The following is a 13,461-nucleotide window of genomic DNA, read 5'->3' on the forward strand; positions in this document are numbered from 1 at the left end:
ATTTTTCAATGTCATTATCTTTCAAGGAGAAGTCTACAACATGGAATACCTGAAATTCATGTTATAATGAGATTTTAATATGGTTCCAAGTAGCTATGTGCTATTTTTGGACTTGTTAAAATATTTGGGTGAGACAAGGACTGACTTTAGAAAAAGTCAGTATAAAGCTAATTTTAGTTGGTGATTTTGGACCTGTTAATATATTTACATGAAACAGACACTGGCTTTAGTCAAGTTACTTGTATTATGGATAAAAATGTAAAAAAAAAAAAAAAGATAAATGTAACTAGTTGCAGGCTATTAAAAAAATGTACAAAGTGGAAGGAGGAAAATAATAAAAGAATCTCCTCCTATTCCTGAAATTTCACGTTCCATACTATTATTCCATGTGGCAATCTGAAAACCATTTCCATCTGCAGTGTTAACATCCTACTTACTTCACCAGAACTGCAACCCAGAATGATGGCACTGTCTCTCCAGCTAACTGACTCATCAGCCTTTTGCGGGATGCAATGCTCTTCCTCACCAAGATTCCGATCCACAGAGTACAAAACATGTTTGCAGTTGATGCAAAAAACCTACTTTTTTATATCGTGTATAAAGGTGCTATGTAAAAACGACATCACACCGTGTGACTGGCTGGCTTCACTTTTTTTTTTTTTTAACATGCTCCCAAGAAAAGTATCCACTTGTTTAGATTAAAAAGTATGTTTCTGTTTGGAGGAACAGAAGATGTAACTTTACAGCTGACAAAACCCCTAGCCTGCTGTTACATGAAGACTTTAAAGGCCTGGGAGGGCACTGACATAATGTTTTGCTAGATTTTAAATGATAAAAACTGCCCAAATTTGGCAAGTAAAACCTCCATAAATGGGTAGTATTAATGCTCCTCTTGTAGGCAAACTATCTAGATAAAACTTCCTTAAGGCTATCTAGAAATCTGAAAGATGGCTTCTTGCCTATCAAAACAAAAGATCAAAGGCATCAAACATAGGAAGAAGTTTCTATTTATAGCAAAGAGCATGAAGGGTTATTGGAGTAAGCTCAAAAACAAAGCAAGAGAGCCAGGTGTAGTGGCACAAGGATTGCTTGAGCCCAGGAGTGTGAGGCTGTAGTAGTGTGCTCCACTCTATGATTCCTTCTGTGAACAGTCACTGCACTCTAGCCTGGGCAACACAGCAAGACTCCATCTCAAGAAAAAAAGAAGCCAAACAGACACACTTTGAAAATTACATATAAAACTAGGCTAAAAAGTGGGTCTTCAAATTCAGAGTTAGTCCTAGAACTGAGAAAATCATTTATTCTAGTTTCACAGTTAAGTAAACTAAGACCTAGAGGAAGTAATCTTATCTGTAACCTTTTGCCTTTCACAACTAGATAAGCCAAGGACAGAATGAAATCCTCATCTTTTCACTGGACCCACATGGGAAGAAACGACTGATTTTTAAGGACAGCTGTGCAGACGGTGCTGCGGCCCCTTCTGCTCTAAACCGTCCAATCTGCTCCTGTCTCTGATGTGCCTCATCTTGCTCACTGACTTCTCACTTGCTTCTAAGTCTCTCTACGTGGAATGACTGGCAGACAGCCCAGGCCCATATTTGCTTCTATGCCTAGCTACCTTGACTCGGGTATTTGCTTACAGAGGCTATGCAGAGCTTATGAACAAGGGGTTCTTGGCCCTGGGGTGGAGAGGGGCAGTCCTCTGCTACACAACACTGACAATTACAAGACACTTAAGTGGTCAGCATCCAACTTGGTTTCTACCACTAAGGGCAATAGGGGCCCCAGCCCCCATTATTGTGACACCCTAAACATCCATTTCCAAATCTGTCACTCAGAATGACTACCTACGAAAGAGACCATTCAAGAACAAAGTTTCTAAACTTTAAAGTACAATTTGGGAGATTTTAGACAATAAATGTCAATACTAGAAGCATCCCTATCAAAGTTTCCATTTTAATGATAAACTGGCCTTTATTTTCCTCACCAGTAACACGGGAACAATCCCATCCTGTGAGGACTAAGTCAGACAATGCACAGAGGCCACACGCCAGGCTCCAAGCCCACTGCCTGCGACTGCAGTCATCACCTGAGGGCTTCCTTCCCTGGAAATCCCTTTGAGCAATTAAGATCTTTCTCGCCACTATCAAGGACTAGCACATGTGCCACATAAGCATCACAGCGAACATTTACCCTTTTACTTTTGAAGTTCTGTCCCACTTTAATCTCAGATGAGGAACCATCTATAATCAAAGCACAACTGACCAAACATAAACCAAACAAGCAGAGACTATTTCTGACCAATTGTCTTAGAATCATTTCAGAAAAACATTACTTTGTCTAAAACAAAACCTCAAAAAGAATATTAACTATCAACGATGGAGTATTAAAAACACAAAACAAGGAAGTTTTAGTATAAGCTTGTCAGGCAACAGAGGGCATGCCCACGTGGGCCTTGTTGAAAAGACTGAGATACATTTAAGTGCTACTGAAGTTCAGAGAAACTAATCGTCAGGGAGGCAGGAGCAGGAATTGCGGAAGGAAAGGACTCAGCTGGCTTTTGAAAGGAAGAGATTTGAATGCAAGAAAGAAGGCACCAGGCAAAGGGGTCCCCATGTTCAAGGCACTGAAAGGCCTGTCCCTGAGCACAGGGAATGGTGAAGGAGCAAGAGCCAGAGGCTGTAATGACGGAGGGAGCAAGTGGAAAGAGAGAAAGGAAACACGTGTGTATGAGTGAGAATGTGTGTGAGACAAAGAGTGTGAGAGGCTGTGTAAATCTATGTGAGAAAGAGGGACAGAGAACTAATGTGAGAATGAGCGTGAGAAAGAAAATAAGTGTGAGAATATGTGAGGAGTGTGTGAGAACATAAGAGCAAATGTGAGAACAAATGTGAGACACAACATGTCAGAACAAGTACGAGAGAACGAGAACAAGTGTGAAACGAATGTGAGAACAGTGTGAGGTGTGAGGAGTGTGAGAGAACAAATGAGAACAAGTATGAGTGAACAAGTGTGAGAACAGTGTGAGGTGTGTGTAAGAATGAGTGAGAACCAGTGTGAGTGAACAAGTGAGTGAACGAGTGTGAGAACAGTGTGCGGTGTGTGAGAACAACTGTGAGAGTGAACGAGTGTTGAGAACAAAGTGTGAGGTATGTGTAAGAACGAGAACAAGTGTGAGAGTGAACGAGTGTTGAGAACAAAGTGTGAGGTGTGAGTGTAAGAACGAGTGAGAAGTGTGAGTGTGAACAAGTGATTGTGAGAACAAAGTGTGAGAGGTGTGAGTGTGAAACAAGTGAACGAGTGAACGTGTGAGAACAAAGTGTGAGAGGTGTGAGTGTAAGAACGAGAACAAGTGAGTGAACGACTGTGAGAACAAAGTGTGAGAGGTTTGAGTATAAGACCGAGAACAAGTGTGAATGAACGAGTGTGAGAACAAAGTGAGGTGTGTGAAAGAACAAGTGAGAACAAGTGTGAGTGAACGACTGAGAACAAAGTGTCAGAGGTGGGAGTGTAAGAACGAGAACAAATGTGAGTGAACGAGTGAGAACAAAGTGTGAGAGATGTGAGTGTAAGAACGAGAACAAGTGTGAACGAGTGTGAGAACAAAGTGTGAGATGTGAGTGTAATAACGAGAACAAGTGTGTGTGAACAAAGTGAGGTGTAAGTGTAAGAACGAGAACAAGTAAGAACGAGAACAAGTGTGAGTGAACGACAGAACAAAGTGTGAAAGGTATGAGTGTAAGAACGAGAACAAGTGTGAACGAGTGTGAGAACAAAGTGTGAGATGTGTGTAATTACGAGAACAAGTGTGTGAACAAAGTGAGGTGTAAGTGCAAGAACGAGAACAAGTGTGAGTGAACGTGTGAAGTGTGGTGTATGTAAGAACAAATGTGAGTGAACGACAACAAAGTGTGAGGTGTGAGTGTAAGAACGAGAACAAGTGAGTGAACAAGTGTGAGTGTGAGAACAGTGAGGTGTGAGTGTGAAAGAACAAGTGAGAACAAGTGTGAACGTGTGAGAACAGATGTGAGTGTAACAACGAGTGAGAATGAGTGAACAAGTATGAGTGTGAGAACAAAATGTGAGAAATGTGTGAAACAAGTGAACAAGTGTGAGTGAACGAGTGTGAGAACAGTGTGAGGTGTGAGTGTAAGAACGTGAGTGAACGAGTGTGAGAACAAAGTGAGGTAAGAACGAGAACAAGTGAGTGAACGAGTGTGAGAACAAAGTGAGGTGTGAGTGTAAGAACGAGAACAAGTGAGTGAACGAGTGTGAGAACAGTGAGAGGTGTGTGTGAAACAAGTGAGAACAAGTGTGAGTGGAATAGCGAGTGTAAGAAAATGAGTGTGAGAAGCAGCGGGAAAGTGGGAGTGTGAGAACAAAGAATGAGTGTGAAGGAACAAGAGCGTGTGACAAATGAGAACATGTGAAGTGGGTATGTGAGAACAAAGAAGTATTAAAGAACAAGTGTGAGAACAAATGTGAGAATGGGTGTGAAAACGAATCTGCAAGAGAACAAGTGTGAGAATGAGTATGGAAGCTCAAGCATGTGTGAGAACAAGTGTGAAAATGTGTGTCCATGAGAACAAATGTGAGAATGAAACCGTGTGAGAACAAGTCTGTGAGAATGAGTGCGGACAAGTGTGAAAGAACAAGTGAGAGAGAACGAGTGTGTGGGAAGGACAAAATGGGTGTGTGAGACAGGAGGCTCCAAAGCCCAGTCTGAGGTCCACATGAGGGCACCGTGGAGAAGCCACCAGCAGGGCCCGATAAAGGCCTGGCTTTAGAAGGCGCCTTTGGAAAAGCAACTAAAATCAGCGTGCCCCTCCTTCCCCATGGACACGTGCCTCAGGATGCTGGGAGCCTCGCCTCTGGAGGACTGAGCTATTTCAGGAAACTGAAAAGCCAGTGGAACAGGCATTTCCAAAGGACAGGAAGTCACCTCTGAGCTGTTGCGGCTTTTCTACGAGAAGCAGAACGTGTACGGCACTCCAAGATCGGAAAACAATGTCAGGTTTCAACTGGAATGACACAGATGTATCCACGTGTTTCATGAAGCGCACAGATGCCCCTCTTCTCTCTACGTTCCCTAATCCGTTGTGACGGGTGTGGGTAACGTTTACAATTCCAGGGCAGCTGCTTGGCACCTGACCAGTGCTGTATGCCTGGCATCCTGGCTGCATTGAGCTCCACAGTTCAGAACAAGAATCACCTGGGAAGTCTGTTGGAAATACAAACTCAGGGCTCCCACCTTTCTCCAGTTTTTTATTTAGCAGATCTGGGCTGTTGGTAAAGTTCAAAAATGTTTTTCTTATGTTTCTAAGTCCCAGGACTTCTGAGAGCTTCACTTTTGACCACACGGGAGAGCTGACATCCTGAGCCACCAGCCAGCGTGAAACCCCTCCTTCGGGGCAGCTCTGAGGGAGGAGAGGCAGGAGTGGGCTGAACTTGAAGGAAGACGAGATCCCCACAAAACAAGTGAGACGACTCCAGCAAGATCCTAATGAAAGGCCACAGGCCAAGTGTGGGTGAGTCAGAGAACCACAGAGGTGTGCACATCACGTGGTGGCACCTGCATCCCCGGTGTGCAAAGACGACCCCAGGGAGGACACTTCCCATGGGGAGGAGCCCGGGAGGAGGCAGCTGCCACTGTAGAAGGGCACAAAGGAAGCCCCGCCCCACCTTCCACCTTAAGGGACAGAAGCCATGGGGGAGGGAAGCACCTTGAGAACCCACTGCAGCTGGGGAGAGGTCCCTTAAGGACATGGTAGGACAATGTCCCAGGCTGGTAGAGACCTCTATTGCTGGGGCAGGTGCAGACCCTCTCCTGCAAAAGACCCGCCAAAGACACAAGGCACAGGGAGGAGGAGGAGGGTCTCTGGGAGAGCTCTGGCCCCAAGACCCAGGATGGACCAGGACAACAGGAAGCTCCTCTGTACCCCCTCTACTGGGGGTGGGCAAGACTGTCCAAAATAATATAAACATCAAACCACAGATCCCAGAAAGTCGGGGAAAAGAGCAGGATAAATACTGCAAAAACTCCCAGTTACTAACGTGTGGTCTGAGTCTGTGGATGTGCCTGTGGCCCTGACTCTGGAATTCACTGCAGCCTCATCTGCAAGGCTGTTAAGAATGGGCTTCAGGGAGCCCTGTTCAAACACTGCAACCCTCCTACCCCCAGCTGGTCCAGGGGTCGGTATCTGACCCAGCTGGAATGGCTCACAAGCCTGTAATCCCAGTACTCTGGGAGGCCAAAGGGAGAGGCCAAGGATGCAGGAAGACGCAAGGCTTTCTCTGAAGTGCTGGCAGACATGCTATTCCACATGTGGACTGCAGAACCAGATGAAGCTAGTCTCAGAGGGAGAGGAAAGCGAGCAGAGGTGGAGAGAGTCACGAAGGCTTTCGAATTCCTGGTTCCGTTCTGTTCCTGAGACTCAACTGCAGTCCCCTGTACACGTCATGAGACATCAATATATGCTATTTTTATGTTTTAAATAAATTCGTCTCCTTTTTATCCCCATTTGCTTAAAGCACATCAATTTCTGGAGTCCTTGGCTAATAGGATTCAATTTCTTCTCATAACAGAAGACACTGTTTCCATTTTACAGAGGAAGAAATGGAATCTGCGGTTCAAAAGATACCAGCAGCCAGCACCTCCGCATTGGGCTGGAAGACTCCAAAAGTTGGTGGATGAACATGTTTGGAGTAAGCCTAGGACCATTTCTAAGGGAAGTTTTGGGAAAGACCTCCGGGATCCCCTCTAGTCGAGGGATAAATCTCAACAAGACTAAGGACTCTGAAACACCCTAAAACCGTATGCTGCCCAACAACTACCAAGTGAGAAGGATTCCCTATGCACAGCCAAAGGCAAACACCAATTGGTTGAGTTCTTACCAGAACAATTATCCAAGCTTTTCTCCTTACTGATAATTCACCTCTAGTGGCCGGGCACGGTGGCTCACGCCTGTAATCCCAGTACTCTGGGAGGCCAAGGTGGGTGGATCACCTGAGGTCATAAGTTCAAGACCATCCTGGCTGACATGGTGAAACCCCGTCTCTACTAAAAATAGAAAAAAATTAGCCAGGCGTGGTGGTGGGTGCCTGTAATCTCAGCTGCTCTGGAGGCTGAGGCAGGACAATCACTTGAACCCAGGAGGTGGAGGTTGCGGTGAGCCGAGATTGCGCCACTGCACTCCAGCCTGGGTGACAAGAGTGAAACTCCGTCTCAAAATAAATAAATAAATAAATAAATAAATAAATAAATAAATAAATAAATCACCTCCAGTGTCAGGACTAAACCTACATGTAGGAGAAATATTTAATTTCTTAAAATATGAAGACTACTATCTGTTAGGTATTATACTAAGCAGTTTACATTCATTTGGCATTTAATTTTCAGATTTAATTGTGTGAGGTAGGTATTACTGTCCTGACATGTTACAGATGGGAAAACTGAGGCTTAGAGAAGTAAGTTGTTCAAAGGCTACAGTAAGAGAAAGAACTAGGAGTGGAAAACCAGGCTGTCCAACACACACGTCTATCACTTAACCACAGCGCTGTGCTGCCTTCTTCACCTACACTCCAACTTCGTCACCTCAGCAATATTTAGGGTTTTTTTCCTTCAACAAGTTCTACATTATAAAAACTAAACAAGCCAACAAGTAGAAAAATGTATAAAGGTTTCGTAAGGGTTTCTAAATCATCCAAATAGTAGAAAGAAATTTAAAAAACCCACAAAATAAAAACCTTTCTAGAAATATCTTTCACCAGGATGAGGAGGAATTACTTGGCAGCCAGCTGTAACTCTGTTCTCATATTTTCCAGTAAAATAAACTGAAAATTTTCCTTTTCACTGGAGTACGTTTGATGACTTTACTCACCATATAAGGAAATGAGTGACTCTGAACTTCTCAGCCCCATCCTTCTTTTCTGAGCACTAAATTTCATTTGGAAGTTAATACGTTATTTTAAAAGTAAAGTCATCAATGGAAGATCCAAACTAAGTAACAGCACTATTAAATTTTGAAGAAGATTTAAAGATTTGGATTTCGTTACATTCTGAAATGAACTTTTTAAAAAGGTCTTTCTCTAAATTGTTAAAAATGTCCCTGGCTAAAGATGGGTAAGTTAAAAATACTTAGCAATTTGTTAAGATTACTGAGGTTTTTTTGGTCACTAATGAAGTTCGTTTCTTAAACATAGAGGACTTTTAATGACTGGTATGGGAAAAAAAACACATTAATTTTAAATCTTATGAATCTCTTAACTTCCTGAATAGTAAAATTTAATTTTAACAGTAAAATTTGACAGAGATGACCTAGGAGTTTTTGGACGTTCCCATGTTTCGTGTACTTAAAATCGATTCAAAATAAGCCCATTCTTTCAGTAATAAGAAAATCAGAACAATTATTTTATTCATAACAGAAAGTGATGACACTTAATTCTTTTGTTTTTATACAGAAAAAGTACAAGCTGTAGTAAACTTAGTTTATGTCAGGTGTAGATAAACCCGTATTTTAAAAGCCAAATGACAATTTTTAATCAGTTATTTGAATCAAATTATATGAATTAATATTCCTACTTTAAATTACAAATGATGTTGAAGGTACTTCCATAAAGGACTCATCAATGGCACATCTTGCATCATTCATTTGCCAGACTCTAAGGAGACAGTTATGATCCTTGCTTTCAAAGAGCTAACAATAACTGTGCAGAAATTGCTGAAACAAAAGGGGCGAAGAAAGTTTCACAAAAGTGAAACAAAAGGGGTGAAGAAAGCCTTCTGCGGCAAAGAAAAAGGCACAGGGAGGTAGTGGCGAGGTGTGGGCTGATACAGACAACCATATGGGCAGTGTGCACCTGGAGAAGATGACCAGGAGCACAATGAACACGGAGGGCAGCAAAGGGAGACGCTGGACAGAGGCTGCAGGAGCCCAGGGAAGGAGGAAGGAGTTTGTCTGGTGGGAGTAACAGTTCTGTTGTCTTGGTTTTGTGGGAAATAACAAATAGTATTAACTACTGTAAAACAGCAGCAACAACAACACAGTATACGTTCCACATCCCTAATCTAAAAATCCAAAATGCTTCAATATAAGAAACTTTTTGAGTACTAGCATCATGCTCAAAGGAAATACTCACTGGAGTCTAACGCAAATATTACAAAACCTGAAACAAATCTGGTCCCAAGCATCTCCGATAACATTCAACCTGTATATAAAACTGTGTGTACAGTTCATTAAACACACCCCAAAAGAGGAAGGAGATGCATGCTAATGACAGCAGCCCTTATCTCTGGAAGGGAGAAGAGGGAGGTTTACAGATGAGTCTTCTCAACAAAGTGTTCAGGAACATGAGCTCTGTATCAGACTAAACTGGATCTGTATACAGGCTCTTATTAATTGTGTGACTTGGAAAAATAAGACTTTCAAAATCTCAGTTTCTGAACAGTAAGAGAAAACAATGTTAACATTTAGCTTTAGAGTCATGAGGATTAAATGAGCAAATATCTATAAATCATATTCAGTGAGGTGGTGAATAAAATGTGAGCTAAGACCCACCCTTCTGAAGAAGTCCATGTTTCCAAATTTTTGTAACATTTTTATAATCAGGAAAGAGAGCTGTTTATCAAGAGATAAGCTCTCAGTTAAGGCACAAAGAAATACAAAAAACTCCCACAGGATTCACACAACAGAAAGGGACAACGGTGAGTTGATAAAATTTTGTTTCTCCACTTTATATATTCTTCCACGGGTATGTATTTTTGCCACCAAATGGGAAAATAAAAATGAAATAAATATTGACTTACTGGTTTCCTAAGGAAGAAGATAGACAAAGCTCCAACTAAGGGCATATCTCCAATCAACGGTTCCAGGATCACCCGCATGGTACCATGAATCTAAACTCAAACAGGAAACCAAAATATGTAATAGAAAACATTCTGCAGGGCCGCTTAACGCAAGGAGTTTGCATGCGAATCTTAGTAACTTTTGAGCATGTGACTTCTTATTTATCTCAACTATGACCTACAGCTAAAAACTGAACGTCAAAAAAATTCCAAGCTAAAAAAACTTCCTAATTTTATTTTTGAATACAGCTTAGAGAACTTTAGAAAACTGTCAAATTAAAACAAAAAAACAAAAAACTTACCTGGATACTTTTCACACCAGCTCTACAAAAATATCGTTTGATCTCCAAATCAATCTCACAATTTCCTACAAAACTAACAAAAAATTCTGCATTACATGATGTAAGTGAAATGAACTATTCTCTTAATCATTATAGACCTGCAAGATGTATAATCTGAATAAAATGATAGTAAAGCAACCAAATCAGATTGTAGGTAAAAACCCTAAAATGTGGCCCATCAAATTATAGTATTTTACTGCTCCAGGTGTGCAGGCTGTTATCAGATCCAACACTGCTATGACGTTGGGAGGAATACTCTCAATCAATCAATCAATGGCTGTGGTTGTTGTTGGTCTTATATATAAAACACTTAACTAAATATAAATGTCCATGTTCAAAAGAAGATGCGAATAACAAACTGCAACTTCTGAAGCAGTCTTTTGATGCAATGTAGTTTTCTTACCTTATAAATCTGATGTTTAAACATTAAAAAGTTTAATTTTATTTCACACAAATAAATTTCACACCTTGCTTCCCAATCATGATAAATCTCACAGTGCCCTAGGCCTCTATAACATCAAAGACTAGAAACAGTGTATCTGTTTGGGGCCTCAATTTTACTCAATGATTAAGTCATTTCAAATATTAATATGAAACAAACATAATGCTAAAGGCAAGATTTGCACCTGTTTTTAATATAAACATGAAATGTCAAATACTTTTTCCATGGGTTAGTGTAGGACCTGAACCCAACCCTTGGCTCTTGGAGGTAGGATGTCACACTCCTACCTGACAATGTTTGTTGGTAAGTTTGATAAATGCTAGAAAGGGAATGTCTAAGCAGATAAGCAAAATAGTAACAAAAGGAATCTGGGATAAGTTTCTTCCAATATTTATTGTCCTGGTGTTAAAGCCAATACCTACAGATTCCTCTCATTGAGAATTACTCTCTACCTAGTTGGTAAAATCACCACTAACCTGTTGCGAAACTATTAAAAAAACTTTCCTTTTCTTCATTCTATGACTTGATCATTTTCTTTTCTTTTTTTTTGAGATGGAGTCTCGCTCTGTTGCCGAGGCTGGAGTACAGTGGTGCAATGATGACTCACTGCAACGGCCGCTATCTGGGTTCAGGTGATTCTCCTGCCTCAGCCTTCCGAGTAGCTGGGATTACAGGTGTGTGCCACTACGCTAATTAATTTTTGTATTTTTAGTAGAGATGGGGTTTCACCATGTTGGCCAAGGTGGTCTTGAAATCCTAACCTCAAGGGATCCACCCACCTGGGCCTTTCAAACTGCTGGAATTAACAGGCATGAGCCACCGCACCTGGCCTGGATCATTTTATTTTCTAATACTTTTCAATTACTCCTTCCCTATCTCTACTGCCTGCCAATTTGGTTAAAGTGCTTGTCTGGAACTCACAACAAAGCAGAATGCATATTTGTTCAGAGACATAAATCTGAGCAGGATACTTGGCATATGTTACGGCAGCTAACCATGAAACCAGACTGATGCGTATTTGTTCAGAGACGTAAATGTGAGCAGGATACTTGGCATATGTTATGGCAGCTAACCATGAAACCAGACTGCACCTTCAAAATGGCATCCACTGACTGATGGACTCAAACTCGCTCGGTGCTGGGGACACTGGACAACAGCACAAGGCTCCGACCCTCACGAAGCCTGGTATCAGCCCAGTGGGGAGAGTCCTCCTGGGGGCGGAGCGTCCTCCTGGGGGCGGAGCGTCCTCCTGGGGCACTGCCTGACCCGAGACATACGTGGGCCTCCTCCTTTATTCCACTGATGACAATGGTGTTTGCCCTAGCACCAAATATTTTAAAGAGGCAGATTTTTCCATATTAAAGAAAGTCTATGCTTCTTTCTGAAATAAAGGTAACTTGGTACCAACTTTGTACATTCACTATATTTAAATACTTTGTAAACTCAAAGATGATCATTTTAATAAAATGATCCTTAGTAAAGGATCAAAAACAGCACACAACTCTGAGTTGCTAGACACTACATGGTTGTTCTGAGTGCACAGTACTCACTGGGCACCACACACAGCGTGTTGTGAGGCCCCACGTGGAGCAGGAAGCCCTGAGCAAGCTCAAGGAAGAATGAGGATGAAGGACAAGAGAAGCCCGCTTTTAAGCCACAGCTGCATCACTGCCCTCCAGCCCGGGTGACAGAGCGAGACCCTATGGGGGGTGTGGGGGGAAGGAAGCCCATTTTTATTATGCTAGGCATGGCAGTTGGCAGATCTTCAATTTCTGTTTTTTTCCAATGTAAAACACTGTATTAAAATACACAAAAATTTGGCTGGGCATGGTGGCTCATGCCTGTAATCCTAGCACTTTGGGAGGCCGAGGCAGGCGGATCACTTGAGGTCAGGAGTTTTAGACCAGCCTGGCCAACAAGGTGGAAACCTTGTCTCTACTAAAAGCATAAAAATTAGTCAGGCATGGTGGCATGTGCCTGTAATCCCAGCTACTCAGGAGGCTGAGGCAGGAGAATTGCTTGAATCCAGGAGGCGGAGGTTGCAGTGAGCCAAGATCGTGCCATTGCACTCCAGCCTGGACAACAGAGTGAGACTCTGTCTCAAAATAAATAAATGAATTAATTAACACCCCAAAAATCTACCCTCATAATCATTTTTAAGTGTACAACTCAGTGGTACTAAACACATCCATAACGTGCAACCATCACCACCATCCGTCTCCGGACCATTTTTCAACTTGCAAAACGAACACTCTCCCCCCATTAAACACTAACTCCCCATTCCTTCTGCTCCCAGGCCCTGGCAACCACCATTCCGCTTCTGTCTATGAGTTTGACTCCCCCAGAAACCTCACACAAGTGCAATTATGCAGACGCTGTCCCTTTGTGTCTGGCTTGTTTCCTTCAGCATAAGGTCCTCAAGGTCCAGCATGTGGCGGCCTGGAGCAGGAGTCCCGTGTTTCTAAGGTGTACAGGCCACATTCTGCTTATCCATTCATCGGCCCACGCATCCTTGGGCTGCTTCCGCCTTGTAGCTATTGTAAAAAATGCTGCTAAGAATGTGGGTGTGCAAATATCTGCTCAAGTCCCGGCTTTCAATTCTTTCGGGTATGTACACAGAGGCGGGATTTCTGGATCACATGGTAATTTTATGTTTAAGGTTTTGAGGAACTGTTTCCACAGCAGCTGTACCATTTCACATTTCTACCAACAGTGCACAAAGGTTCCAATTTCTCCACATCTCACCAACACCTGTTATTTTCTGGGTTTCTTTTGACAGTAGCCTTTCTAATAGGTGTTAGGTGGTATTTCATTACGGTCTAGATTTGCATTTT

At 42.3% G+C, this 13,461-nt stretch overlaps 1 protein-coding gene across 9 annotated transcripts in view; it reads right to left on the minus strand.

The window, feature by feature from the left end:
• The window catches only part of ESYT2 (extended synaptotagmin 2), a 98,513-nt gene that overhangs the window by 47,202 nt on the left and 37,850 nt on the right, over positions 1-13,461 (minus strand). For 7 of the 9 annotated variants that reach the window (XM_024446846.2, NM_020728.3, NM_001367773.1 and 4 more), the window contains exons 5-6: positions 10,147-10,219; positions 9,806-9,895 (exon numbers count right to left, since the gene is read on the minus strand). In XM_024446846.2, coding sequence (XP_024302614.2) covers positions 9,806-9,895; positions 10,147-10,219 — 163 coding nt within the window. Of the gene's footprint in view, positions 1-9,805; positions 9,896-10,146; positions 10,220-12,981; positions 13,157-13,461 lie in introns of those variants that run through there. The other 2 variants (XM_047420660.1, XM_024446848.2) reach the window with 1 other exon arrangement.

Source organism: Homo sapiens, chromosome 7, assembly GCF_000001405.40.
Source record: "Homo sapiens chromosome 7, GRCh38.p14 Primary Assembly".
In the NCBI taxonomy this organism is placed as follows: Eukaryota; Metazoa; Chordata; class Mammalia; order Primates; family Hominidae; genus Homo; species Homo sapiens.